Genomic DNA, 26629 nt, shown 5'->3' on the forward strand with positions numbered 1-26629 from the left:
TTTTTTTTTTTTTTTTGGTATTTTTAGTAGAGACAGGGTTTCACCATGTTGGTCAGGCTGGTCTCGAACTCCTGACCTCATGACCCATCCCCCTCGGCCTCCCAAAGTGCTGGGATTACAGGCATGAGCCACCGCACCCGGCCAATTTGTTTCATATTCTATGTTAAGCCCTCACATTTATCTACCTTGCCCCCTGCTTTAGCTTGCAACAGTCAAATCACCTTGAGGGCCCTGACCAGGACCAAAATAATAACTCGAATTTGACGGAATTGTGCAAGGAGTTTGAGAGACCTCAGCACCCGGCAGATCCTCAGAAGCTGAAGCCACACCGATTGGCCTGTTACCCCTACCAATACCACAACCTCGGGAAGCAGGGACTGTGGAAAACACACAGGTTATAAGTAAAATACACCCCAAGGCACCCAGGCAGAATTGCAGCTTCTTCATCTTATCCTCTTCATTGTTCCCTGGGCGTTATCCTTTGAATAGCATTCTCTGAGAAGTGCTTACTATTCAGCCTTTCTATATTAAGTTGCTTAAACACTATACTTCAACTTGTTCAGATATAAAAAGGGGGATAAAATTCATGGTTATTTAATTAGGTTGTTGTGGAGCATAAATGAGATAATGTAAGGAAAACACTTAAAATAGTGCTTGGCACTTAGTAAGTGCTCAGTAACCGGCAGATGCTCTTGTTGGCATTGATGTTGTAGTTAGTCTACTTTGCTCCTAATACCAACAACTCCTGCAATGATTGATGTTTAGTTTTAGGAAAAAAAAATCAAAAGAAAGAAGTTAAGTAAATTTTTGTTTCTTCCTATTATCATGTTAACTTGTTCTTTCGATTCACCTAGGCACATTCTTCATCCCACTAAACGAACCCTCAGGATCTCTATCCTTACCAACATGGTAACAACAAAGTCAAAGACATTCCAGGCACTCTTCCAGAAAACAGAAAAGTTGGATAGCCACTTAAGAAGGATCTCCAGGATGAAAATAAGCAAGATAAACCAAGCTGCCCCCTCCAAGGTCAGCTTCAATGGCCATAGTTTGGTATTTGTGGATTCCAGCAATTCTGTGAGGATAGAGCAAAGGAGGAATAAAAGTTAAGGAAGCTGGAAACCGAATGATGGAGAATGAACACACTTATAAACCACAGTTTTGCCCACTACTGTTCCATTTTTCTTCACACTGTGTTAAGAGTTAAGAGTTTCTCTTCTTAACACTGTTGCTTCAACCTGTGAAATACAGGGAAGGACAGAATTGACCATAAAACACAGCCACAACCAATCTGTTCATATAGTTATGTCTGCCCAGCTACAAGTCACTTGCGATCCACTCTGGGGCTCACACAGCTACTAAGAGACTACTCTCTTTAATTACCCCTACCTCCAACCCCCCACCCCCATCTACTGTACTGTTATCTCAGTCCCAAAGTTCACAAGAAAGCAATGGGTCTTGAGAACAGAATGAAAATACAGGGCCATGATATCTGAACTACTTTATAACGAATGTAGAAACAAGCCACAATCATTAGGGTATATCGAATTATAACAATAAATCACTTGGTTCTGTTAGCTTTCTTTTAAAACTTTTCCTTTCTTCCCTGCCTAAAATTGGTTTTGTTCTGCAAAGCAAATTGAATGCATACTTCCTCTCTAGAACCTTATTATTTACCAATTGCTATTCCTTAATTCATTGCCTTTCTCTTTCAACCTTCTTCATCTCTTTTATACAATTAATGGATGTATGCCATGCTCTAGAAAAAAAAACACTGAAATTAAAATGGCTTAAGAGCTAAATAGAAATCAACATTGTGGTGCTCTGGCTTTAAATTCATCCTGATGCTGAACTGGATCCAGACAAAAAGAACAGAACCATACTTCGATCATCCCTAGAATTTTACAGAGGTTGGCCCCTTCTAAAAACCAATGGGGTTACACTATACTTATTCCTATGCTTGTTTTGAGACAGAGTCTCACTCTGTCACCCAGGCTGGAGGAGTGCAGTGGCATAATCACAGTTCGCGGAAGCCTGGATCTTCCGGGCTCAAGAGCCTCTGGGTAACTGGGACCACAGGCACATGTCACCATGCCCAGCTAATTTTTTCTTTAAATTACTTGTAGAGATGGGGTCTCCCTATGCTGCCCAGGTTGGCCTCAAACTCCTGGGCTCAAGCGATCCTCCGGCCTTGGTCTCCCAAAGTGCTGGGGTTATAGGCATGAGCCACTGCACCCAGCACTCCTATGCTTATTTAGGCTCTGTACTTCTTCCGTAAGTTTTTCTTTCATGCACATTTCTCTAAGATGGACAATATTTCACATTTTAACATCCATGAAATTAGGATGCTTTTTTTTTTTTTTTTTTTTTTTGAGATGGAATCTCGCTCTGTTTCCAGGCTGGAGTGCAGTGGTGCAATCTCAGCTTACTGCAACCTCTGCCTCTGCGCCACCATGCCCAGCTAATTTTATTATTTTTGGTAGAGACGGGGTTTCACCATGTTGGCCAGGATGGTCTCTATCTCTAGACCTCGTGATCTGCCCACCTCGGCCTCCCAAAGTGAGGATGCATTTTACAACCAGCGATGTGTCCCAGTTTAATTGAGCATGATTTTTATTTCTTATTGGTAAACAGTGAATTTCACCATTGATGACAGCTTAAATTCAATAAAATACAAAATTTTTTCACTTAACAATAAATTCTAGCTCTCAGGAGCATGGGATTATATAATTAGAAAGAGCTGAGGACCACATTTGTGGCTGGAAAATAGAATGCTATAATTTTTATTCAGTTTTTGCCCTTGCAAAACAGGAACCCAAACAGAGCAATGAAGTAAAATAAGGCTCTTGTAAAGCAGAATATAGTTTTGAGTAGTTTAAAATAGTTTAAGTAGGGAAGTCCAAATTATAGAAGCAGTAGCACTTTTACTCTCTGGAAAAATGAATAATTTTATAGAAGCTAAACAAACCCAAGGAAGTTCAGAGGAACGAATAGCAGAAATTGCCTCAGCAGCACAGAATGTGCAGAAGTGACTGCCTCCACTCTACATCAAGTAATGTGTCCTCTCTGAAGATGAAAAATAACTTTTTAAAATTCTTGGAATTTTTCAGGCTGCTATAGCAAAGCAAAGGAGTCTTAATGGAAATAGAGACCAGGAGCCCAGTGAAGTCTACCCAGGAATCTTAGCCAGTGAAGTGAAGTAGCAGTGAACATCTATGTTTCAATATTCTTCTCAGGGTGACAGACAGTAGCCATTTGATCAAGCAAGTCAGGCAAATACATAATTCTGTTTTACAAGGTAGAGTTCACCATGAACAGTCATCTATTGCTACTCCCTATTCTAGAAAAACAACAGTAGGTCACCTCACAGAATACCAGGTAAATTCACATTGGTTTCAAGGAGTCCAATACTATAGGTGAGGAGAATAGTACACTGTAACAATAAACTGTTATGTAGATTTTGACATTTACAGTTTTAATATTTTTAGTAATGTTTTGGCTAGTTATATCCATCATGAAACAAGGAACACTGATGTTGAAACATAATTTCTTTCTTTCTTTTTTTTTTGAAATGGAGTCTCACTCAATCTGTTGCCCAGCTGCCATCTCAGCTCACTACAAACTCCGCCTCCCGGGTTCAAGCGATTCTTCTGCCTCAGCCTCCTGAGTAACTGGAACCATAGGTGCACATCACCATACCCACTGATTCTTGTATTTTTAGTAGAGATGGGGTTTCACCATGTTGGCCAGGTTGGTCTTGAACTCCTGACCTCAAGTGATCCGCAGGACTAGGCCTCCCAAATTGCTGGGATTACAGGCATGAGCCACATGCCCAGCCAGAAATACAATTTCATGAAGAGCATTAAGAGTGATAATTCTGGCTGGGCGCGGTGGCTCATGCCTGTAATCCCAGCTCTTTGGGAGGCCGAGGCGGGCGGATCACGAGGTCAGAAGTTCGAGACCATCCTGGCTAACATAGTGAAACCCCGTCTCTACTAAAAATACAAAAAATTAGCTGGGCGTGGTGGCGGGCGCCTGTAATCCTAGCTACTTGGGAGGCTGAGGCAGGAGAATGGCATGAACCCAGGGGGTGGAGCTTGCAGTGAGCAGAGATGGCGTCTCTGCACTCCAGCCTGGGAGACAGAGCAAGAGTCTGTCTCAAAAAAAAAAAAAAAAAAAAAAGAATGACAATTCTGCAAGTTTAATCTCAAGATGATCTTCATCAGATTCTATAAATTCCATTCATATGACCAAAAACTTTATATAGCACATCAAACCCTCTCTAGGACTTTAAAAGTCAATGTAAAAAATTGTAATCTTCAGGAATATGCCCACCTTTGGGAAAAAATTGTAATGATATTATACTTAGGTTTTATTTTATTTTTGATACAGAATCTTGCTCTGTCACCCAGGCTGCAGTGCACTGGTGAGATCATAGCTCACTGCTGCCTCAATCCCCTGGGCTCAAGTGATCCTCCCACCTCACCCTCCTAATATACTCAGTTTTTAATTTTAAGTAGAGATTGTCTACACTTGCAATGTGTTATTTTCTGACAAAGGCTTGCAAATGAGTCAAATCATTTTTTCTTTCTCATTATTTGAAACAAAATACAAGATTTTAAAAATAAGCCAATTGATGTTTAAAGTGCAAAACAGAGGCCAGGCACAGTGGCTCATGCCTGTAATCCCAGCACTTTGGGATGCCGAGGCGGGCGGATCACCAGGTCAGGAGATCGAGACCATCCTGGCTAACACAGTGAAACCCCATCACTACTAAAAATACACAAAATTAGCCAGGTGTGATGGCAGGGGCCTGTAGTCCCAGCTACTCGGGAGGCTGAGGCAGGAGAATGGCGTGAACCTGGGAGGCAGAGCTTGCAGTGAGCCGAGATCGTGCCACTGCACTCCAGCCTGGGTGACAGAGCGAGACTCCGTCTCAAAAAATAATAATAATAAAATAATAAAATTTAAAAAATAAAGTGCAAAACAGAATTACCAATATCCAGTTGTGGAAGTAGATTTTTTAAAGCCCTAACAGTTTAGATCGCTTTGTGATCTGGAAAAAAAATTTTAAGCCTAAAAAAAGTCTTAATGTTTATCATATGAATTAGTCTGTTCAAAGAAATCTGTTAATCACAAATAATTTCCCTCTGCAAAATCCCTCCTCCGTTTCTCCCACAAGAATAAACTTAATAAGATAAAATTTCCACGAGCTTGCCAGATAATTTCTAGTCTGGCAATCTACTTATCCTCTGACACAGTGATCATGTTTCATATTCAGTTAACTGTTTTACCAAATAGAATAGTTAGTGCTATTCTATTTTGATTTGTCTATTAGATCTAGGGCAGGGGTCCCAAGCCCCAGGCTACGGACTGGTACCAGTCCATGGTCTGTTAGGAACCCGGCCATGCAGCAGGAAGTGAGTGGTGGGTGAGTGAGCATTACCGCCTGAGCTCCACCTCCTGTCAGATCAGCTGCGGCATTAGATTCTCATAGGAGGGCAAGCCCTATTGTGAACTGCATGTGCGTGACCCTTAGGAGAATCTAATGCCTGATGATCTGAGGTGGAACAGCTTCATCCTGAAACCTCCCTCCTACCCCATCCATGGAAAAACTGTCTTCCAAGAAACCAGTCCCTGAAGCCAAAAAGGCTGGGGACCACTGATCTAGGAAATCCTGTATAGTTACTATTATTTACTTCATTCCAAGGCTTAGTACTATAATCCTAGCCATGCAAGGCAAATACATGGCAGCAATCATACAATAAAAGGGAATTATAAGTAACTTAGTTCAAAATCTTCACCATTATGAGGAGGAAATAAAACACCTCAAAGTATATAGTATACTGTAGTGGGTCCGTGACATCAATTATTGTTGTTTATTTAAATATCTTTGACCTGACTGCAGTAAAGGACTATTTTTTTCGAGACAGGGTCTCACTTTGTCACCTAGGCTGGAGTTCAGTTGCACGATGTCTCACTGCAACCTCCGCCTCCCAGGCTCAAGCGATCCTCCCACCTCAGCCTACTGAGTAGCTGGGACTACAGGCATGTGCCACCACACCTAGCTAATTTTTGTATTTTTTGTAGAGATGAGGTTTCTCCACATTGGCCAGACTGGTCTCAAACTCCTGAGCTCAAGCAATCCTCCTGCCTCAGCCTCCCAAAGTGCTGGGATTACAGGCATGAGCCACCATGCCTGGGCCCCAGAGATAAGCTTGTAGGGGACTTGGAGCTAGAGGCAGAGTTCTGAACTGGCTACCGGCACTGGACACTTCTGTTGAGGAAAATATCTGTGTGACATAAACAGCCAAGAGCTTCATAACTACGCCCTTCTCTTAAAAATTCCTCCTAGGCTGGACGTGGTAACTCATGCCTGTAATCCCAGCACTTTGGGAGGCTGAGGTATGAGGATCACTTAAGCCCAGGAGTTCAAGACCAGCCTGGACAACATAGTGAGACCCTGTCTCTACAAAAAAAAAATCAACATAATTAGCTTGGTGTAGTGGCATGCACCTGTAGTCCAAGCTACTCAGGAGGCTGACGTGGGAGGATCAATAGAGCTCTGGAGGTTGAGGATGCAGCGAGCCATGATCACACCACTATACTCCAACCTAAGTAACAAAGTGAGACTCTGTCACTAAAAAATAAAGTGGGAGACTTCTCTACAACAGTGAGAATGAAACAAGTGAGTAGTTCTACTGTCCTTTCATCATTTCTGAGCAGTTTGAGATTATCAACAAATGAGCTCACTGATTTTGCAGACATCCTTATGTTTTGAATATGTTTCATATAATTTATTATTGGTTTAAGAATCATTTCCTTTTAAGTAATTTTTTTGGCTCAGCTAATATCTTAGTGGTACCTACCTTTCCATACTTTGTGAGCTTTCTTATTTTTACTTGAATAATATTTCTAAATATACTTGTAAAAATGTAAATGTTAGGCTGGGCGCAGTGGCTCACCCCTGTAATCCCAGCACTCTGGGAGGCCGAGGCGGGTGGATCACGAGGTCAGGAGATTGAGACCATCCTGGCTAACACGGTGAAACCCCGTCTCTACTAAAAAATACAAAAAATTAGCTGGGCGTGGTGGCGGGCACCTGTAGTCCCAGCTACTTCGGAGGCTGAGGCAGGAGAATGGCGTGAACCTGGGAGGCTGAGCTTGTGGTGAGCCAAGATCGTGCCACTGCACTCCAGCCTGGGCGACCGAGTGAAACTCCGTCTCAAAAAAAAAAAAAATGTAAATGTTAGATCATTCACCGATAGGCACCAATATCTTTAACAGAAAAGGTTAATGCAAACAATTGTCAGCCTAAACTGACAACAGAAATAAAACTGGTCTTCCCAAGTTCAATTCCTTGTGGATTTGTTACATTGCTACATATTACACCTAGTTTTATGTGTCTAGATGCTCTGTATCTAGTATACGCTTGAGAGCCCTCCAAATATTAATATTTCTTTTTTTTTTTTTTGAGATCAGGTGCAGTGGCGTGATTTCGGCTTACTGCAACCTCCGCCTCCCAGGATCAAGTGTTATTCTGCCACAGCCTCCTGAGTAGCTGGGATTACAGGTGTCCGCCACCACGCCCAGCTAATTTTTTGTATTTTTAGTAGAGATGGGATTTCGCCATGTTGGCTAGGCTGGTCTTGAATTCCTGACCTCAAGTGATTCAACCACCTCGGCCTCCCAAAGTGCTGAGATTACAGGTGTGAGCTACCGTGCCCAGCGAATATTTCTAGATTTTAGCAGTTGCATAAATTCTACTCCAGGAGGCTTAATTGTCCTTAATATAAATGTCACATTTCAAATGACATTCAAAAATGTAAAATGATCAATTTAGAAAAAAAAAATTACTCCTACCCACTTCCTCTTTTTCTTTTTCTTTTTTTTTTTTTTTTGAGACAGAGTTGTACTCTGTCGCCCAGGCTGAAATGCAGTGGCACAATCTCAGCTCACTGAAACCTACGCCTCCTGGGTTCAAGCGATTCTCCTGCCTCAGCCTCCCGAGTAGCTGGGACTACAGGCCATGCCACCACGCCCAGCTAATTTTTTGTATTTTTTAGTAGAAACAGGGTTTCACCATGTTGCCCAGGCTGGTCTTGAACTCCTGAGCTTTGGCAATCCGCCTGCCTCGGCCTCCCACAGTGCTAGGATTACACGTGTGAGCCGCCGCGCCTGGCCTCACTTCCTCTTTCATACAATGTCAGTTCTCACGTATTTCAACCATCAGTACGATCGTATTCAAAAAGATCAGGAAGATGATGAAGTTTTTGAAGAGAGGACCTGTTGTCTCTTAAGGAAACATACAGAGTGGAGTTCTTTCTGATTTATGCAGCTGAAATAATAAGAGCAATAACATAAGCAGTGAGAATGAGACAATGGAGTTTGGGAAGCAAAAAATAAGTCATTAGGCAGATGATCAACAGCCAGGATAAAAATGAGTGACATGAAAGGATACACTCAAGGACCCATCCGGCCCACAAAGAAAGAGGTGGCCTCTGACTGCAGCGCACATGAAGCCTGCTCAACAGCCTCTGGGCATGTGAAATCTGTTCTATACGTTGAGGCTTTATAGAGACGCCCACTAGCTGGTGTTGATCTCCCAACATAAGTTTCTTCTGGCGGGAAGGATCTACAACAAAAATTGAAAAGGGGTAGTGGATAAATACAAACAAAATAGACCAGGTAGGGTTGGGGGCAGGGATACTGTTCAGATAATGGGTCCCCCTAATGGCTTACTGCTGGTCCTTCTCTTCTCACAGCAACTAAGAATTCTGTTTGGAGTGAGAGCAAATGTATTGCTTATGACCAACACTGTCCATGCCCACAAAAGCAGCAGGTTCACTCTCAAAGTTTTAAGAGTCTTTGACAGAAACTGTTCCGTATCATCCACGGCTAGTGGCTATCCTAGGCCTAAAAGTGAAAGACGTGGATTCTATCTCCTTAGTTTTATTTACAAGCCCTTGATTTATCAAGTTTGGTAAACCAGCAACTAAACCGGCCTCCCCAGAATTTTCCACTCTTAAATGTAGAGGATGTGGATAGGAGTCTTAAATTTAAATTAGTGAAGAAATAGGCTGCTGACCAAGTAACTCCTGATAGTGTGTCGCAGCACAGCTTGGCTCAAGCCTTGCAAATGCTCGATGAGAGAGAAAGTATCGATGAGACGTGAACGAATGGCATCAGCTCGGGGAAGCTGCATCTGCCCTTCTTGTTGGTAAGCGGCCATGTCTGCTAAGAAAATGTAAGCATCAAGTGTCATTTCATTCTTGGAGCTGCACCAAGGATTACAGGTTTTCTGTCCCCTCCTCCCCACCCTCTTTGCCCTTAAGATTCCTTAATGTACCCACATCTACGAACTAGGAGCAGTTGGGCAGAACAAACATTCTACTAAGACTCAGGGTTTTTTGAAACAAAAGGGGCTAAGAGTGGTAAAGACATTGAGCAGTCGACCAAGTGGCCAGGCATCTTCACTTTGTGACGGCACTACCAATTAAAAGCTCATTAAAAAAAAAAAAAAAAAAAAAAAAAGTCCGGGCGTGGTGGCTCACGCCTGTAATTCCAGCACTTTGGAATGCCGAGGCGAGCGGATCACGAGGTCAGGAGATAGAGACCATCCTGGCTAACACGGTGAAACCCGGTCTCTACTAAAAATACAAAAAATTAGCCGGGCGTGGTGGCGGGCGCCTGTAGGCCCAGCTACTCGGGAAGCTGAGGCAGGAGAATGGCGTGAACCCGGGAGGCAGAGCTTGCAGTGAGCGGAGATCGCGCCACTGCACTCCAGCGTGGGGGACAGAGCAAGACGGCATCTCAGACAAAACAAAACAAAACAAAACAAGAAACTCAATAAAAAAGGAGCAGCCACAAGGGCAGGGGCCCGGGGCTGGACAAAGAAGAACCTGGGTCCCACCTGGGCCTGAGAGAATCGGGCAATGAGGTGGAGTTGGGGGAGGGCTTGGCCTGCCCACGCAAGAGAAACCAAGTGAAGAGAAATTGGACAAAATGCCAAAGCCTGACATTTTGAAAATGGGTCCCGTCCCAAGTGTGTCCACTCCAACACTCCTTCGGGGGCTAGCTCCTTCTCTCCTCCATTCTCGCTTCTGGGCCTCACCTCAGCCCAGGTTCTCTTCGCCCACTCAGTCCTGACTTCACGCTTCCACCTCCAGCTCAGGCGCCCCCTGAGCCCGGCTACCCCTACGCAGGACGAGCTCAGGGCCGGCTCCCAGCCTCACTGCGCCCCATTTCCCGCCCCGCCCGACCCCCAGGTTTCGGCTCACCCCGGGACCCGGCCCTAGCCCCTGCCCCCAGCCCAGGACCGGGCCCAGCCACGCTCGCCCAGACACTCGCCGCCTCGGCCCCGCCCCGCGCTCCGGCCACTCGGCGGTAACGAGTTGGTCCCGCCCGCCCGACGAAGGCGACGCGCAGCCAATCAGCGGCTGCCACACAGCGGCCCAAGCCGGGTTTGGGGGTTGGGACCTCCGGCTGCAGGTCCGCCTGGGCCAGACGCGCGAGCGCAAGCAGCGGGTTAGTGGTCGCGCGCCCGACCTCCGCAGTCCCAGCCGAGCCGCGACCCTTCCGGCCGTCCCCACCCCACCTCGCCGCCATGCGCCTCCGCCGCCTAGCGCTGTTCCCGGGTGTGGCGCTGCTTCTTGCCGCGGCCCGCCTCGCCGCTGCCTCCGACGTGCTAGAACTCACGGACGACAACTTCGAGAGTCGCATCTCCGACACGGGCTCTGCGGGCCTCATGCTCGTCGAGTTCTTCGCCCCCTGGTGAGTCCATTCTGCCGAGGCGGGGGAAGAAAGGCGGGGCTGGGCCGGGGGCGAGAGCGCGGGGAACTGTTGGGCCTACGCAGCGCCGGGGCCCTTCATTCCTGTGGGCCCCTGCTGCGGCGGGCACATTTCTCATTCCCGGGAGCTGGAGGCGCCTCGCCGAGAGCGGGGGAGTCGGTGCTGATCGGCCCAAGGAAAACCCGAAGGCTGCGCTCACGCAGGGCCTCATCCTTATCTCGGTGCTCTTGTGGCACTTCCTATTTGCAGAGGGTTTTGCCACCCCTTCCCCCAGTCCAATATGTAGCTATATCTTTTCTGCGTGAGTCAGTATTAATGCTCCTCCAGTCTACAGACTAGGCATCCCAAAGCCTTGTAGTGGAAGCGGACGTTTCACCAAATGCAGAAGTCCTGGATCCCTAGGGTATTTCCTTTCATCTTACCTCACGCCGCACAGCCATTGGTTTCTAGCCAAGGTCACTGAGTGGCTGCAGAATGGTCGTAAGTGCTTTCTTGAGGCAGGTAATTTGTCCGTCACATGGTGTACAGTTTCTCCCTTCAGCTGATCACTTACATCTCAGTACCGGCAGATACCTCTGTCCAAACGAAAGGAGTACGTGAACAAGAATAATTCCATCAGAATCTGTCCATATTGTCTGTTTTAAATAGCATTTCTTTAAAATGTCAAAAAAGACTCCAATGAGAAAATAACCAATATTGATTACATACTCCACTTTAGGGTGACTTAAGTGATCAAGGGTGTAAATTCCTTAGATAGAACTAACTCGAAATAAAAAACTGTTGGGGAGAAGGAAGAGCAAATAAGATTTCTGGCCCAGTCAACTTGAGTGTTTGTTTTTTTTTTTTATTTGTGTGTGTGTGTGTTTTTAAACCTCCAGATCATTACCAGAGTAAACAGTGATTCCTTTATCCTGGGGATAGCTCTCTATATATAATTCAATATATATAATTACAGTACTTAATTTTTCCCCTCCTGGCACAGTGACCCTTGGTTTAATACTATCCGTGTTCAAAAATGTCAGTAAAAGTTGTGTATAACTTTTATTTGCTTCAGACTCAGGTCTTCCCTTCTTAGCCTCAAACAACTTGCTAAGGGTTACACGAAAAAAGTCCTGTAGTAAAGACCACCTGAATCAGAATGATGTGCTAGAGATGGCAAATTTTGTTTGCAGCTTGGACAGATTTTGTGTCCAGGGCATTTCTGGGGCTAACTGGCAGTACAGATTACACATATAGATAGTTCTTATACATCTCTGGAACTCATGTTCTCTCTTAGGAACAACTCTTCCCAATTATATAATCATGCTGTTAGCTTTGAGGGGGTGTCAATAATTTGTAAAAACTGGGGGTGTCACTAAGTTTGTCAGATCTGAGTGATGCTTTTTACTACAGGGGTCATGCAACAATTTAAAGTAGGAATTGTTGGAGAATAGTGGGCCACTAGAATATTAGTTTAAAAAAGGAATTTTGGGGCTGGGCATGGTGGCTCCCGCCTGTAATCCCAGCACTTTGGGAGGCCGAGGCAGGCGGATCACCTGAGGTCGGGAGTTCAAGACCAGTCTGACCATCATGGAGAAACCCCCGTCTCTACTAAAAATACGAAATTAGCCGGGCATAGTGGCACATGCCTGTAATCCCAGCTACTCAGGAAGCTGAGGCAGGAGAATAGCTTGAACCCAGGAAGCAGAGGCTGCAGTGAGCCACGATCCTGCCATTGCACTCCAGCCTGGGCAACAAGAGCGAAACTCTGTCTCAAAAAAAAAAACCAGAATTTTTTATTTGAATTGAAGGGGGTGTTTCCTACTTTAAATTGTTACACGTGCTACCCTAAAAACTACATATCCCATCAGGCACTGACTGTCCCAAGAATTGGGTGGATCTCTGCTGTGGTGTCTGCTTTTAATTGGTTTAAAAGAAAAAGTCATCCTCCACAATTTCAGCAAGAAAGATGAGTTTTCTGAATGAGCAATTTGGAGTTAAAGAAGTCTCCTGTTGAGGTCTTTATTTCTTCACATTCCACTACATTTTTTTTGTGTGTGTGTTTGTGTATTTTTTTTTTTTTGAGATGGAGTCTCGCTTTGTTGCCCAGGCTAGAGTGCCATGGCACTATCTTGACTCACTGCAACCTCCGCCTCTTGGGTTCAAGTGATTCCCCTGCCTCAGCCTCCCGAGTAGCTGGGATTACAGGTGCCTGCCACAATGCCCAGCTAATTTTTTTGTATTTTTAATAGAGACAGGGTTTCACCATGTTGGCCAGGCTGGTCTCGAACTCCTGACTTCAGGTGATCTGCCCACCTTGGCCTCCCAAAATGCTGGGATTACTGGCATGAGCCACTGCACCCAGCCTGTTTTTTTGTTTTTGTTTTGTTTTGTTTTGTTTTGTTTTTGAGACAGAGTCTTGCTCTGTTACCCAGGCTGGAGTGCAGTGGCATGGTCTGGGCTCACTGCAACCTCCGCCTCCCGTGTTCAAGTGATTCTCCTGCCTCAGCCTCCTGAGTAGCTGGGATTACAGGCACGCACCACCAAGCCCGGCTAATTTTTGTATTTTAGTAGAGACGGGGTTTCACCATGTTAGCCTGATGGTGAACTCCTGACCTCAGGAGATCCACCCTCCTCGGCCTCCCAAAGTGCTGGGATTACAGGCGTGCGCCACCTAGCCTGGCCTCTGTATTTTTATTTATTAACATTTCAGCTGGAAATGTTTTCTGACTGCTATATTCCTTTGTACAGTTCAGTAGTACTATCTTACAAGAAACAGTTAAAAAATCCTTAGTAAGAGTAAAATGGGGTCTGGCCCTGTTGTGCATTCCTGTAATCCCAGCAGTTTGGGAGGCCAAGGCAGGCAGATCACTTGAGATCAGGAGTTCAGACCAGCCTGGCCAACATGGGGAAACCCCATCTCTACTAAAAATACAAAAATTAGCTGGACGTGGTGGCGCACATCTGTAATCCCAGCTATTTGGGAGGCTGAGTTGGGAAAATCACTTGAACCCAGGAGGCAGTGGCGAGGTAAGAGACCAGCCTGGGCAGCATGGCCAGACCCCATCTCTACTAAAAAATGACAAAAATTAACCGGGCATGGTAGCACACGCCTGTAGTCCTAGCTACTCAGGAGGCTGAGGTGGGAGGAGAAGATCACTTGAGCCTGGGAGGTGGAGGTTGCAGGAAGCTGAGATTGCACCATTGCACTCCAGCCTAAATGACAGTGTGAGACCATCTCAAAAAAGAAAGTAAAATGGGCTTTTTTTTTTTTAACCTTATTCTCGTCACAAAATAGACCTATTTAAGCAAATTCTTTTTCCGCTTTCATGTTTCAAGTGAAAGTGAAAGGTGAAAGCTTGCTTTGCTTGCTTTTTTTTTTTTTGAGACAGTCTCTCTCTGTTGCCAAGGCTGGAGTGCAGTGGCGCGATCCCGGCTCTGCAACCTCCGCCTCCCCTGTCTGGCTAATTTTTTTTTTTTTTTTTTTTTTTAAGTAGAGACCAGGTTTCACCATGTTGGCCAGGCTGGTCTTGAACTCCTGACTTCACCTGAATCACCTGCGTTGGACTCCCAAAGTGCTGGGATTTCAGGCGTGAGCCACCGTGCCTGGCTTAGTGAAAGCTTTCTTTGCAGTTGATTTTGTAGACTAATATTTCCATTATGGAGTTAATCTGCTATATATTTTTAAGGATAAGAGTATCTGAATTTCTCTGGGGAAATAACACTATTTAAATGTTTGGAAATGTCCGAAAATTTATTGATTAGTGTTAATATGTAATATTAAGTCCTTGGCCGGGCACGGTGGCTCACGCCTGTAATCCCAGCACTTTGGGAGGTCAAGGCGGGTGGATCACGAGGTCAAGAGATCGAGACCATCCTGGCCAACATGGTGAAACCCCGTCTCTACTAAAAATACAAAAAGTTAGCTGGGCGTGGTAGCAGGTGCCTGTAGTCCCAGCTACTCGGGAGGCTGAGGCAGGAGAATGGTGTGAACCCAGGAGGTGGAGCTTGCAGTAAGCCAAGATCACGCCACTGCACTCCAGCCTGGGCGACAGCGAGACTCCTTCTCAAAAAAAAAAAAAGTCCTCAACATCTATTTATGCTATAGATGTGTATGCTACCCTCTAAGACAGTAGTAATAAATAATGGCTGGGTGCAAAGGCTCACGCCTGTAATCCCAGCACTTTGGGAGGCCAAGGTGGGCAGATCACGAGGTTCAGGAGTTTGAGACTAGCCTGGCCAACATGGGGAAACCTTGTCTCTACTAAAAATACAAAAATTGGCTAGGCACGGTGGCAGGAGCCTGTAATCCCAGCTACTCAGGAGGCTGAGGCAGGAGAATTGCTTGAACCTGGGAGGTGCAGGTTGCAGTGAGCTGAGATCATGCCACTGGACTCCAGCCTGAGTGACAGAGCAAGACTCCGTCTCGAAAAAAAAAAAAAAAATAATATATGTGCTAATTTCTTTACTTGTAATCCCCACCCCGAGTTGATCTTTTCAACATCAACATTTAGCTCATATTTTTTTTTTCCTTCCCTGGACAACTAACTGGTTGATCCTGCCTCTCTATTGGCATCTAATAATACTGTGTCACCCCTGCCAGACTGGTGTTCCTATAAGGAAAGGACTATACCAATTTTCTTATCAAAGACACTTGATAAGGCACTTATCAAAAAGTACTTGACGCATGGCACACATGATGAAGTGATGATTATGGGTGAATATATGTTGGAATTCATTATCAACTGCCAGGTGCCATCCCTGAGGATAGATAGAATTAATTGTGTTTTAATATTTTCTAGGGGTGGGTGAAAGAAGTAGTGGTTAATCTTGAAGGATGTATGTTAACCAACCCTGATTTCCCTTAAATACCACCTGAGTTCCATTCCTGCTGGATTTGAAGAGGAGAGTCTCCTCCAGCCTCATTGAAACTCTTTTTGTGGATTTGATGACCTTATGGATATTGCCAAAGTTTAAGGCAGTGGATTTTAGTCCCAGCCTTGCAGCTTACACACACACCTGGTTGCTCCCCAGATTTCTGGAGATTCTCATTCAGTAAGCCATGCATACTTTTGTTGTTTTAATGCTCTGTGGGTATTTTTGATAAGCATCTAGAGTTGACACCTACTGGCTTGACCTAGTAACTATTGTATGTGATTTTTTTCTCTTAAAATGTTTGAAGATAGTTGAAACAATTAACTCATAAATCTGTTGCCTCAGCCTTGACAACTACTATATATTCAACAGAAATCTCTCATCTGTCTCTTCTTTATTCTCATTGCTGCCATTCCGGTCCAAGCTTTTATTGTCTGCCATGTGAAATATATTATCTTCTAGATGGCTTTACTCTTGTCTCTATTTTCTCCCTTTCTGTCAGTCTTTGACATTGCTGATTGACGTAGTCTTAGTACACGTGCACGCACATTTATTATCTCACAAAAGCCCTTTACAGTTCTCTGAATGCATCATGCTTACTGGTATTCTTTTACGTTTGCTCTACTATCTCCCTCATCTTAAATACCCTGCCCTCTTCTCTCTGAAGCGTTAAATCCTTAAAGACCCAGATCCAATTGTTACTCCCTTTAAAATCCATTTACTATGCAGTATTAAAGGAATACAGAGGATATAATGAATAAGACCCTATTTCACACACATAAGATACCACTGATTGTGAGAGGAACTATCTTGTGTCTCACTGAGAAAGAAATACTACCACTGAAACTATAACATGACTGCAAAATACATCTTAATATCAGGAAAAAACAATGAATCTGAAATACAGCATAAGGAATAGCATTTGTTTGCACTCAGTCTGAAAAACATAGCCAGTACATTTGAAGTCCCCTATGTGCCCCTTTACCATCTTATACACTCCTTTATCTTGAATTTGGTATTTATCATTTGGTTCTTTTATACTTTAATAGGCCGCCTGAAGGCCTTGGAGAATAAGCTGTTATAATCCTTTATTTTAAACAAGTTTTAGGTGTACAATATTTCCAAGTTATCCATCACTTGATAAAATTACACCATTGACTATTGAAATATATCTGCTCAAGTTTCTTCTCTATTATATTTCTATTTTTGCTGTCTACGGGAAGGTTACAGAACTCACCTTCTCAACGTGATCCCTCTGCAACCCTTTGGCTTTTGAAAAGGTGATGTACAGCTGGTGCTAGCTGTATATACACTGATTAGGATTTTCTGGGCAGAGGAGCCGGTGCTTCTGGTGGCCCTCTGGGAAAGGTATTCTAGTTTACATGTTTTGTTATCACTTCTCATGGCTAGGTGAACTATGTAGCTGTAAAAATCAGGCCTGCCATCTAAAAGACTTAATATCATACTTGAGACATTACAGGGTTTCAGTCACAATTTTGTGTCCCCACCCCCACCCCGAGACAGAGTCTTATTCTGTCACCCAGGCTGGAGTGCAGTGGCGCGATGTCAGCTCACTGCAACCTCCACCTCCCAGGTTCAAGCAATTCTCCTGCCTCAGCCTCCCGATTAGCTTTGATTACAGGTGCCCACCACCACGCCTGGCTAATTTTTGTATTGTCAGTAGAGACGGGGTTTCACTATTTTGGCCAGGCTGGTCTTGAACTCCTGACCTCGAGTGATCTACTCGCCTTGGCCTCCCAAAGTGCTGGGATTACAGGTGTGAGCTTCAGTCACTATTTTTAACAACCACAATGCTGGTTTCCCAGGGAATTGTATTTTCCTCTGGGGAATTCTATCAGAAATGGGATTATTTCTATTTTGTCCTTCATTCAGCCTCATTAATTGGTCAAAAGGGCATTAACCCATTCAACCCTCTTTAATAATGTGGCGTACACCTTTGACTACAGCTTTCACAACTTAGTTATACTTTGTATTGAGAAAATAGAGCTGCCCTGTGCTGAGCCAGTACTATGGAGTCAACCTCAGTCTAGGGGTAGGACCTTTACCTCTTGAGAGTTCTGGTTTACTTTAACAATAATGAATGTTGTTCATGTGATGATTTTGCTTTTTGGAAGTGTCTACTAGCTCAAAGGTAGTATTATAGTTTGAGATTCTTCCTAGTGAGACAACATTAACAAATTCATAGGACTAAACTGAGAATTTGGCTTTTTTAATACGTATATAGGTGTGGACACTGCAAGAGACTTGCACCTGAGTATGAAGCTGCAGCTACCAGATTAAAAGGAATAGTCCCATTAGCAAAGGTAAGTACAGGTGGATTCTTCACTAAAGGACGTGAAGTATTTTAAAAAGTAGTTTGTTGTCTCAGCTTTGTTACATGGAAAAAAATAACAGTAATAAATAGTTTGTAAGATTAACATTCATTTTCTCTACTCTTATTCTGCTAAGAAGAGCGAATACTAGTTTCTGGGCAAATACACAACTGACTTGTAGTTTCAAAAGATTAAAAGTAGTGGCTGGGCGCAATGGCTCATGCCTGTAATCCCAGCACTTTGGGAGGCCGAGGTGGGTGGATCACGAAGTCAAGAGATTGAGACCATCCTAGCCAACACGGTGAAACCCTGTCTCAACTAAAAATACAAAAATTAGCTGGGTGTGATGGCACGTGCCTGTAGTCCCAGCTACTCAGGAGACTGAGGCAGGAGAATTGCTTGAACCCAGGAGATGAAGGTTTCAGTGAGCCGAGATCGGGCCACTGCACTCCAGCCTGGTGACAGAGCAAGACTCCGTCTCAAAAAAAAAAAAAAAAAAAAATTAAAAGTAGTGAGAGTAAGGAAATTACTGGCATAAGAAGTAAAATAGACCAGGTATGGTGCCTCACAGCTGTAATTCCAGCACTTTGGGATGATTACTTGAGGCCAGGAGTTTGTTGCCTGGGCAACAAAGCAAGACCTCATCTCTACAAAAAATTTAAAAAGCTGGGTGTGTTGGCTCACACCTGTAGTCCCAGCTTCTCAAAAGGCTGAAGCAGGAGGATTGCTTGAGGCTGCAGTGACTAGACACTGCACACTACTAGACTCCAGCCTAGGTGACAGAGTAAGACCCTGTCTCTTAAAAAAAAAAAAAAAAGTGTAATCCCAGTACTTTGGGAGGCCAAGGCAAGTAGATCACTTGAGACCAGCCTGGGCAACATGGCAAAATTCCATCTCTACTAAAGATACAGGCAGGCTTCCATAGTCCCAGCTACTCAGAGGCTGAGGTGGAAGGATTGCTTAAGCCAGAGAGGTTGAGGCTGCACTGAGCTGTGATTGAACCATTGCACTCTAGCCTGGGCAATAGAGCGAAACCCTGTCTCAAAAAAAAAAAAAGTAGTAAAGTATATGGTAAATAAGAATTAAAGATGGAAAGCAGAAGTACAGCTATAAAGGTTAAAATAATCATTGAGGCTGGGCACGGTGGCTCACGCCTGTAATCCCAGCACTTTGACAGGCTGAGGAGGGCGGATCACCTGAGGTCAAGAGTTCGAGACCCGCCTGGCCAACATGGTGAAACCCCATCTCTACTAAAAAATATAAAAATTAGCCATGTGTGGTGGCAGGTGCCTGTAATCCCAGCTACTTGGAAGGCTGAGACAGGACAATCGCTTGAACCCAGGGGGGCGGAGGTTGCAGTGAGCTGAGATCATGGCACTGTACTCCAGCCTGGGCGACAGAGCAAGACTCCATCTCAAAAAATAATAATAATCTACAAGTAAATGAGTTCCCTAAACTGCTATGTGATAATCACAATGATGGTAATACGAAAATGATATGAGGATATTGATGAAAATGTAACCAAATGGTCAACTGTAAACTTGGTATTTGTTTTTACAATTAAAGTAATGCTTCCAGAATGTTGCCATTCTGTAGTAAACCCATAGTTGTTCTAGTCTAAAAGCTCTTACCTCTGCCAAATAGTTCATATATAAGGCTATTTTTGGAAATTACTTTTAATCTTATCAAGCAGCTTGCCATAGGAAAAAAATTTAATCATAGCCAGGCGCTGTGGCTCACGCCTGTAATCCCAGCACTTTGGGAGGCCAAGGCGGGTGGATCTCCTGAGGTCTGGAGTTCAAGACCAGCCTGGCCAACATGGTGAAACCCCGTCTCTACTAAAAATACAAAAATTAGCCAGGTGTGGTGGCCGGTGCCTGCAATCCCAGCTACTCGGGAGGCTGAGGCAGGAGAATGGCTTGAACCTGTGTGGTAGAGGTTGCAGTGAGCTGAGTTCGTGCCATTGCACTCCAGCCTGGGCAACAAGAGTGAAACTCCGTCTCAAAAAAAAAAAAAAAAATTCAATCACAATTCCTACCTGTGTGACTATAGACACATTAATTAATTTTCTGGATCTTAGTTTACCCATCTTAGAGCATAAGGATCATACTTCATAATCTTATGGAGATTAAATGAGATAATATATGCAAAGTACTTGTGCCTGGGTTGGAGTAAGTGGCTCGTTCCGGGAAATTATTTTCCTTCTTCCTGATAGGTCTCACTAGATCGGTTATGTTATGGTATAGCCCAGATTCAAACTAGTTCAGGGTACGTGTACAGGTGTTGGTACCTTTGATAATAGCTCTAGATGATTTGCAAAATCAAATTACATTACACCTAAAGGATATGTACCACCATCGATATATCCCCTTGGTGATAGTCGTAATCAAAGTAAGCCACTGTTAATAATTTAAGTGATTTATCCCTCATGTGTTCTGAGGCAGAAAAAAGATGAAGACCACCGCTTTAGCTAATAGAGACTACAAGGGCAGAATTTAAACAGGAACTTTGCATTTTATGTGAGGCCTAGGAATCTCAATTTTAAAGAATTCCTTAGGCAGTTCTGATGTAGTTAGGCAAGCTCCAGTCTGCCTTTAAAATCTAATGTTCTGTGGCATATATGCCAAGAATTCCTTGATCCCCTTAGGATTTGACCAATCCTAGTATTTTGAGAATATAGGAAGAACCTGCAGCAGAAACTTGGATAAGAAAATAGTTTGTGTATTTTGATCTTTAGGTTGATTGCACTGCCAACACTAACACCTGTAATAAATATGGAGTCAGTGGATATCCAACCCTGAAGATATTTAGAGATGGTGAAGAAGCAGGTGCTTATGATGGACCTAGGACTGCTGGTAAGGATCCTGAATTACATTCTGGAAACTGATGTTAAGTACCTTATTCTTTGTAGTGGAAACATAAAAATGTGTTTTTCTACACAGTATACTTTCAGTCTTAAAACTTCCTCATCTAAGAGGTCAGTTTGGTGGTAACAAAAGACCTCTCTAAATGAACAGATTATATAAGTAATATAGAAAATACACAAACTTGATTTATAAGGTCAGCTCGACATTTTTTCATTTTACAAATATTTATTGAGTAATTACTGTGTGCCAGATATTCTAAATATACTAGGTCGTTGGCATTTATTGATAAAATAGACAAGGTCCCTACTCTTGTGAAGCTTACATTCTGGGGGATGAGGGGGAGAAGGCAACAAACAAGTTTTAAAAATATAGATGAGCTGGGTGCAGTGGCACGTACCTATAGTTTTAGCTACTCGGGAGGCTGAGGTGAGAGACTGTCTTGAGCACAGCCTGGGCAATATAAGTTTGTCCCCATCTCCAATAAAAAGTTTGGGCCGGGGCCGGGTGCGGTGGCTCACGCCTGTAATCCCAGCACTTTGGGAGGCCGAGGCAGGTGGATCACGAGGTCAGGAGATCGAGACCATCCTGGCTAACACAGTGAAACCCCATCTCTACCAAAAATACAAAAAATTAGCCGGGCGTGGTGGCGGGCGCCTGTAGTCCTAGCTGCTCGGGAGGCTGAGGCAGGAGAATGGGGTGAACCTGGGAGGCGGAGCTTGCAGTGAGCCGAGATCGCGCCACTGCACTCCAACATGGGCGACAGAGCGAGACTCCGTCTCAAAAAAAAAAAAAAAAGTGTGGGCCAGGCACAGTGGCTCACACCTATAATCCCAGCACTTTGGGAGGCTGAGGTGGGCAGATCACGAGGTCAGGAATTTGAGGCCAGCCTGGCCAGCATGGTGAAACCCCATTTCTGCTAAAAATAGAAAAAATTAGCACTGGGCGTGGTGGCACATGCCTGTAATCCCAGCTACTCAGGAGGCTGAGGCAGGAGAATCACTTGAACCCAGGAGGCGGAGGTTGCAGTGAGCCAAGATTGTGTCACAGCACTCCAGCCTGGGCAACAGAGCGAGACTCCATCTCCACACACACAAAGGTATGTGTGTTATCTCCATGTATATATGGATAACCATCTCATACCCATTAGGATGGCTACTATTTAAAAAAAAAAAAACAACGAAATAGGCCGGGCGCGGTGGCTCACGCCTGTAATCCTAGCACTTTGGGAGGCTGGCGGATCACCTGAGGTCGGGAGTTCGAGACCAGCCTGACCAACATGGGGAAACCCTGTCACTACTAAAAATACAAAATTAGCCAGGAGTGGTGGTACATGCCTGTAATCCCAGCTACTCGGGAGGCTGAGGCAGGAGAATCGCTTGAACCTGGGAGGCGGGGTTGCGGTGAGCCAAGATCATGCCATTGTACTCCAGCCTGGGCAACAAGAAGGAAACTCCGTCTCAAAACAACAACAACAACAAAATAGCCAATGTTGGTATGGATGTAGAGAAATTGGAAACTTTGTGCACTATTAGGAATGTAAAATGGGACAACCACTATGGAAAACACAGTATGTTGGTTCCTTTAAAAATTAAAAATAGGGCCAGGCCTGGTGGCTCATGCCTATAATCCCAGCACTTTGGGAGGCCAAGGCAGGCAGATCATTTGAGATCAGGAGTTTGAGGCCAGCCAGGACAATGTGGTGAAACCGTCTCTCTACTAAAAATACAAAAATTAGCTGGGTGTGATGCGCATACCTGTAATCCCAGCTACCTGGGAGGCTGAGGCAGGAGGATCACTTGAGCCCGGGAGGCAGAGGTTGTAGTGAGTCGAGATCGGGCCACTGCACTCCAGCCTGGGGAACAACGCAAGACTCCGTCTCAAAAAAAAAAAAAGATTGAAAAAATTAAAAATAGAAGGCCAGGCACGGTAGCTCATGACTGTAATCCCAGCTCTTTGGGAGGCCAAGGTAGGCTGATCACTTGAGGTCAGGAGTTCTAGACCAGCCTGGCCAACATGGTGAAACCATGTCTCCACCAAAAAATACAAAAATTAGCTGGGCGTGGTGGTGCACACGTGTAGTCCTAGCTACTTGAGAGGCTAAGGCAGGAGACTCGCTTGAACCTGGAAGGTGGAGGTTGCAGCGAGCTGAGATCACACCACTGCACTCCAGCCTGGGTGACAGTGAGACCCTGTCTCAAAAAAAAAAATAAAAATGAAAATAAAATTACTAGGCCAGGCGTGGTGGCTCACGTCTGTAATCCCAGCACTTTGGGAGGCTGAGGCAGGCGGATCACAAGGTCAGGAGAGCGAGACCATCCTGGCTAACACATTGAAACCCCGTCTCTACTAAAAATACAAAAAATTAGCCGGGTGCAGTGGCGGGTGCCTGTAGTTCCAGCTACTCGGGAGGCTGAGGCAGGAGAATGGCGTGAACCCTGGAGGCGGAGCTTGCAGTAAGCGGAGATAGCACCACTGCAGTCTGGCCTGGGCGAAAGAGTGAGACTCTGTCTCAAAAATAAGTAAATAAATAAATAAAATTACCATATATATGATCCAGCTTCTGTATGCCCACTTCTGAGTATACATTTAGTTCTCACTTAATGTTGTCTATAGATTCTTGGAAGCTGTGACTTTTAAGTGAAACAACCTATAACAAAACTTGTTTTTTTTTTTCCTCATCAATGTTACAGGAAACAGTGTTATTCTAGGACTTGCTATGCATTCTTTCTCTTGAAGTTGCAGTTTCTGAGAACATATGAATAATATTGAGGACTTATTGTATACCCAAAAGAAGATAGTTGTACACCTATATCCACAGCAGCATTATTCATAGTAGCCAAAAGGTAGAAGTAACCCAAGTATCTTATCAGTGAATGAATAGTAAACAAAATACGGTATATGCATCCAGTGGAAGATTATTCAGCCTTAAAGAAGAAAATTCTGACTACATGCTGCTATATGATTCCACTTACATGAGGTAGCACAAATAGTATACAAAATTGTATGTTTAAAAATGGTTAACAAGGGCCAGGCATGGTGGCTCACGCCTGTAATCCCAGCACTTTGGGAGGTCGAGGTGGGCAGATCACGAGGTCAGGAGTTCAAGACCAGCCTGACCAGCCAACATAGTGAAACCCCGTCTGTACTAAAAATACAAAAAATTAGCCGGGCGTGGTGGCAGGAGCCTGTAATTCCAGCTACTCGGGAGGCTGAGGCAGGAGAATTGCTTGAACCCAGGAGGCGGATGTTGCAGTGAGCCAATGTTGCAATCGCGCCATTGCACTCCAGCCTGGGTGACAAGAGTGAAACTCCATCTCAAACAAACAAAAAAATGGTTTAACAAGGCTCATGCCTGAAATCCCAGCACTTTGGGAAGCTGAGGCAGGTGGTTTGCTTGAGCCTAGGAGTTGGAGGCCATCCTGGGCAACATAGTGAGACCCCGTCTTTATAAAAATACAAAAAACTAGCCAGGTGGGATGGTGCATGCCTGTAGACCCAGCTACTCAGGAGACTGAGGCGAGAGGTCTGATTGACCCTGGGAGGTCGAGGCTGCAGTGAGCAATGATCATGCCGCTGGACCCCAGCCTGGGTGACAGAAGGAGACCCTGTCTCAAAAAAAAAATAAAGAAAAGAAAAAAAAGATTGGAAACAAATGTCCATCAGTTTTGCAATTGTGTCTGCTTAAATAAACTGTGGCACATTTATAGTGAAACACTATGCATTGTAAACAATGTTTCTGTTAAAAAAAAAACTTTTTTTTTTTTTTTTGAGACAGAGTCTCACTCTGTCACCCAGGCTGGAGTGCAGTGGCACGACCTCGGCTCACTGCAAGCTCCGCCTCCCGGGTTCACACCATTCTCCTGCCTCAGCCTCCCGAGTAGCTCGGGACCACAGGCGCCCGCCACCATGCCCGGCTAATTTTTTTGGTATTTTTAGTGGAGACGGGGTTTCACCGTGTTAGCCAGGATGGTCTCGATCTCCTGACCTCGTGATCTGCCCGCCTCGGCCTCCCAAAGTGCTGTGATTACAGGCGTGAGCCACAGCACCCGGCCAAAAAAACTTTTTAATAATAATAAAAAACGCTATGCCACTGTAATAAAAGGTTGAGGTAGCTATGTATATATAATTGCCTGTTTATGCAGAAAATGTCTGGAAGGATATACAAGCAACTGAAATCTTGGCTGGGTGTGGTGGCTCACGCCTGTAATCCCAGCACTTTGGGAGGCCAAGGTAGGTGGATCAAAGGTCAGGAGATCGAGACCATCCTGTCTAACATGGTGAAACCCCGTCTCTACTAAAAAAATACAAAAAAAAGTAGCCGGGCATGGTGGTGGGCACCTGTAGTCCCAGCTACTCAGGAGGCTGAGGTAGGAGAATGGCATGAACACAGGAGGCAGAGCTTGCAGTGAGCTGAGATTGTGCCACTGCACTCCAGCCTGGGCGACAGAGCGAGACTCTGTCTCAAAAAAAAAAAAAAAAAAACCTGAAATCTTACAAGGAGGAAACTGGGTGACTAGGGACAAGGGTGGCAAGAAGATTTCATCTTATACCCTTTTGTACCTTCTGAATTGTGAATGATGAATAATTGCCTTCTCAAAAATTATAAATAAGTTGTGTTGTCATAACTTTTATTTTGACTTCTAAGATGGAATTGTCAGCCACTTGAAGAAGCAGGCAGGACCAGCTTCAGTGCCTCTCAGGACTGAGGAAGAATTTAAGAAATTCATTAGTGATAAAGATGCCTCTATAGTAGGTAAGTAGCAAATATTAAACCGTGCCACAGAATTGTCAGTTTGGTTTCCAAAACCCTCCATGTCTGGGAAAACCACAGAATTAAAGCAGTTAAGGAAACCTTGGGGCAGTTGAGAAGGCAACTGACAGAATTGGGTCAGCAATTACTATAATGTACTATATAGTACATTATATAATTACTATATAATGTAATTATAATGTGGGGGGCAATTGGTGTTTTATTTGAGTGGGTTTGTGTTCTCATAGATGTAAAGGTTTAATTTCAATTAAAGGGACTGGAAGGGGTGGGTGTGGGGAAAAAAATAAAGGACTAGGATAGGAATATCTTCAGCGTTTTCTAATGCTTCTTAAACTCTGAGATTTGACTCACAATAGGGTAGTTATGACTGAAAATAAGGTTTTAAGGTAGGAAGATACAAGTAAATAATAAACCTCTGCTATTTTCACAGAAATTAGGGAACTTTAAAATCAGATCGCTAGGATTTATCTTGTTTTTGCAGCATTCATTGCTTTCTCATGTGTTGCAGTATCTCGTTTTTAAATGACATGAGCCAGTTAAACACTTTCTGCATCTTAGATGTTCATTGTTTTGTTTTTTAAATGTGATATATGATAAATTTGACTAAAAAATAAATTTAAACATAAAAGCTATGTTTGTGCTTCTCTTAGTCTCCTAATTACTGTAATAAAACTGACTTTCGCCTGGCTCAGTGGCTCACGCCTGTAATCCCAGCACTTTGGGAGGCTGAAGCGGGCGGATCACCTGAGGTCGGGAGTTTGAGACCAACCTGACCAACATGGAGAAACCCTGTCTCTACTAAAAATACAAAATTAGCCGAGCATGGTGGTGCATGCCTGTAATCTCAGCTACTCGGGAGGCTGAGGCAGGAGAAACGCTTGAACCCGGGAGGCGGAGGTTGGGGTGAGCTAAGATCGCGCCATTGTACTCCAGCCTGGGCAACAAGAGCAAAACTCTGTCGCAAAAAAAAAAAAAAAAAAGTGACTTTCTGGCAGCAGAATATGGTTTACTGT

General features: G+C 44.3%; 1 protein-coding gene and 1 pseudogene across 2 annotated transcripts in view, besides 3 other annotated features; one reads left to right on the forward strand and one right to left on the reverse strand.

Annotated features, from left to right (window-relative positions):
* CATSPER2P1 (CATSPER2 pseudogene 1) lies at positions 1-10365 on the reverse strand (annotated as a pseudogene). Its single transcript, NR_002318.2, has 4 exons — positions 10115-10365; positions 9089-9237; positions 8462-8635; positions 1-1075 (listed from the first exon to the last, which is right to left on the reverse strand). The product of NR_002318.2 is annotated as a CATSPER2 pseudogene 1 (transcript).
* Positions 10221-10520: a silencer, noted in NCBI's record as "silent region_6387". NCBI's record gives its function as "represses an Ori minimal core promoter by ATAC-STARR-seq in GM12878 lymphoblastoid cells {active_cell/tissue: GM12878}" and the evidence as "EXISTENCE:reporter gene assay evidence [ECO:0000049][PMID:35858748]".
* PDIA3 (protein disulfide isomerase family A member 3) overlaps positions 10505-26629 on the forward strand; it is a 26841-nt gene continuing 10716 nt past the window's right edge. Inside the window, exons 1-4 of the mRNA NM_005313.5 lie at positions 10505-10773; positions 17891-17969; positions 20716-20833; positions 25491-25598. Of these exons, the coding sequence (NP_005304.3) occupies positions 10607-10773; positions 17891-17969; positions 20716-20833; positions 25491-25598 (472 nt within the window). The 5' untranslated portion in view covers positions 10505-10606. The remainder of the gene's footprint in view (positions 10774-17890; positions 17970-20715; positions 20834-25490; positions 25599-26629) is intronic.
* Positions 11021-11070: an enhancer, noted in NCBI's record as "active region_9321". NCBI's record gives its function as "activates an Ori minimal core promoter by ATAC-STARR-seq in GM12878 lymphoblastoid cells {active_cell/tissue: GM12878}" and the evidence as "EXISTENCE:reporter gene assay evidence [ECO:0000049][PMID:35858748]".
* Positions 11081-11130: an enhancer, noted in NCBI's record as "active region_9322". NCBI's record gives its function as "activates an Ori minimal core promoter by ATAC-STARR-seq in GM12878 lymphoblastoid cells {active_cell/tissue: GM12878}" and the evidence as "EXISTENCE:reporter gene assay evidence [ECO:0000049][PMID:35858748]".

This window comes from Homo sapiens, chromosome 15, assembly GCF_000001405.40.
Source record: "Homo sapiens chromosome 15, GRCh38.p14 Primary Assembly".
In the NCBI taxonomy this organism is placed as follows: Eukaryota; Metazoa; Chordata; class Mammalia; order Primates; family Hominidae; genus Homo; species Homo sapiens.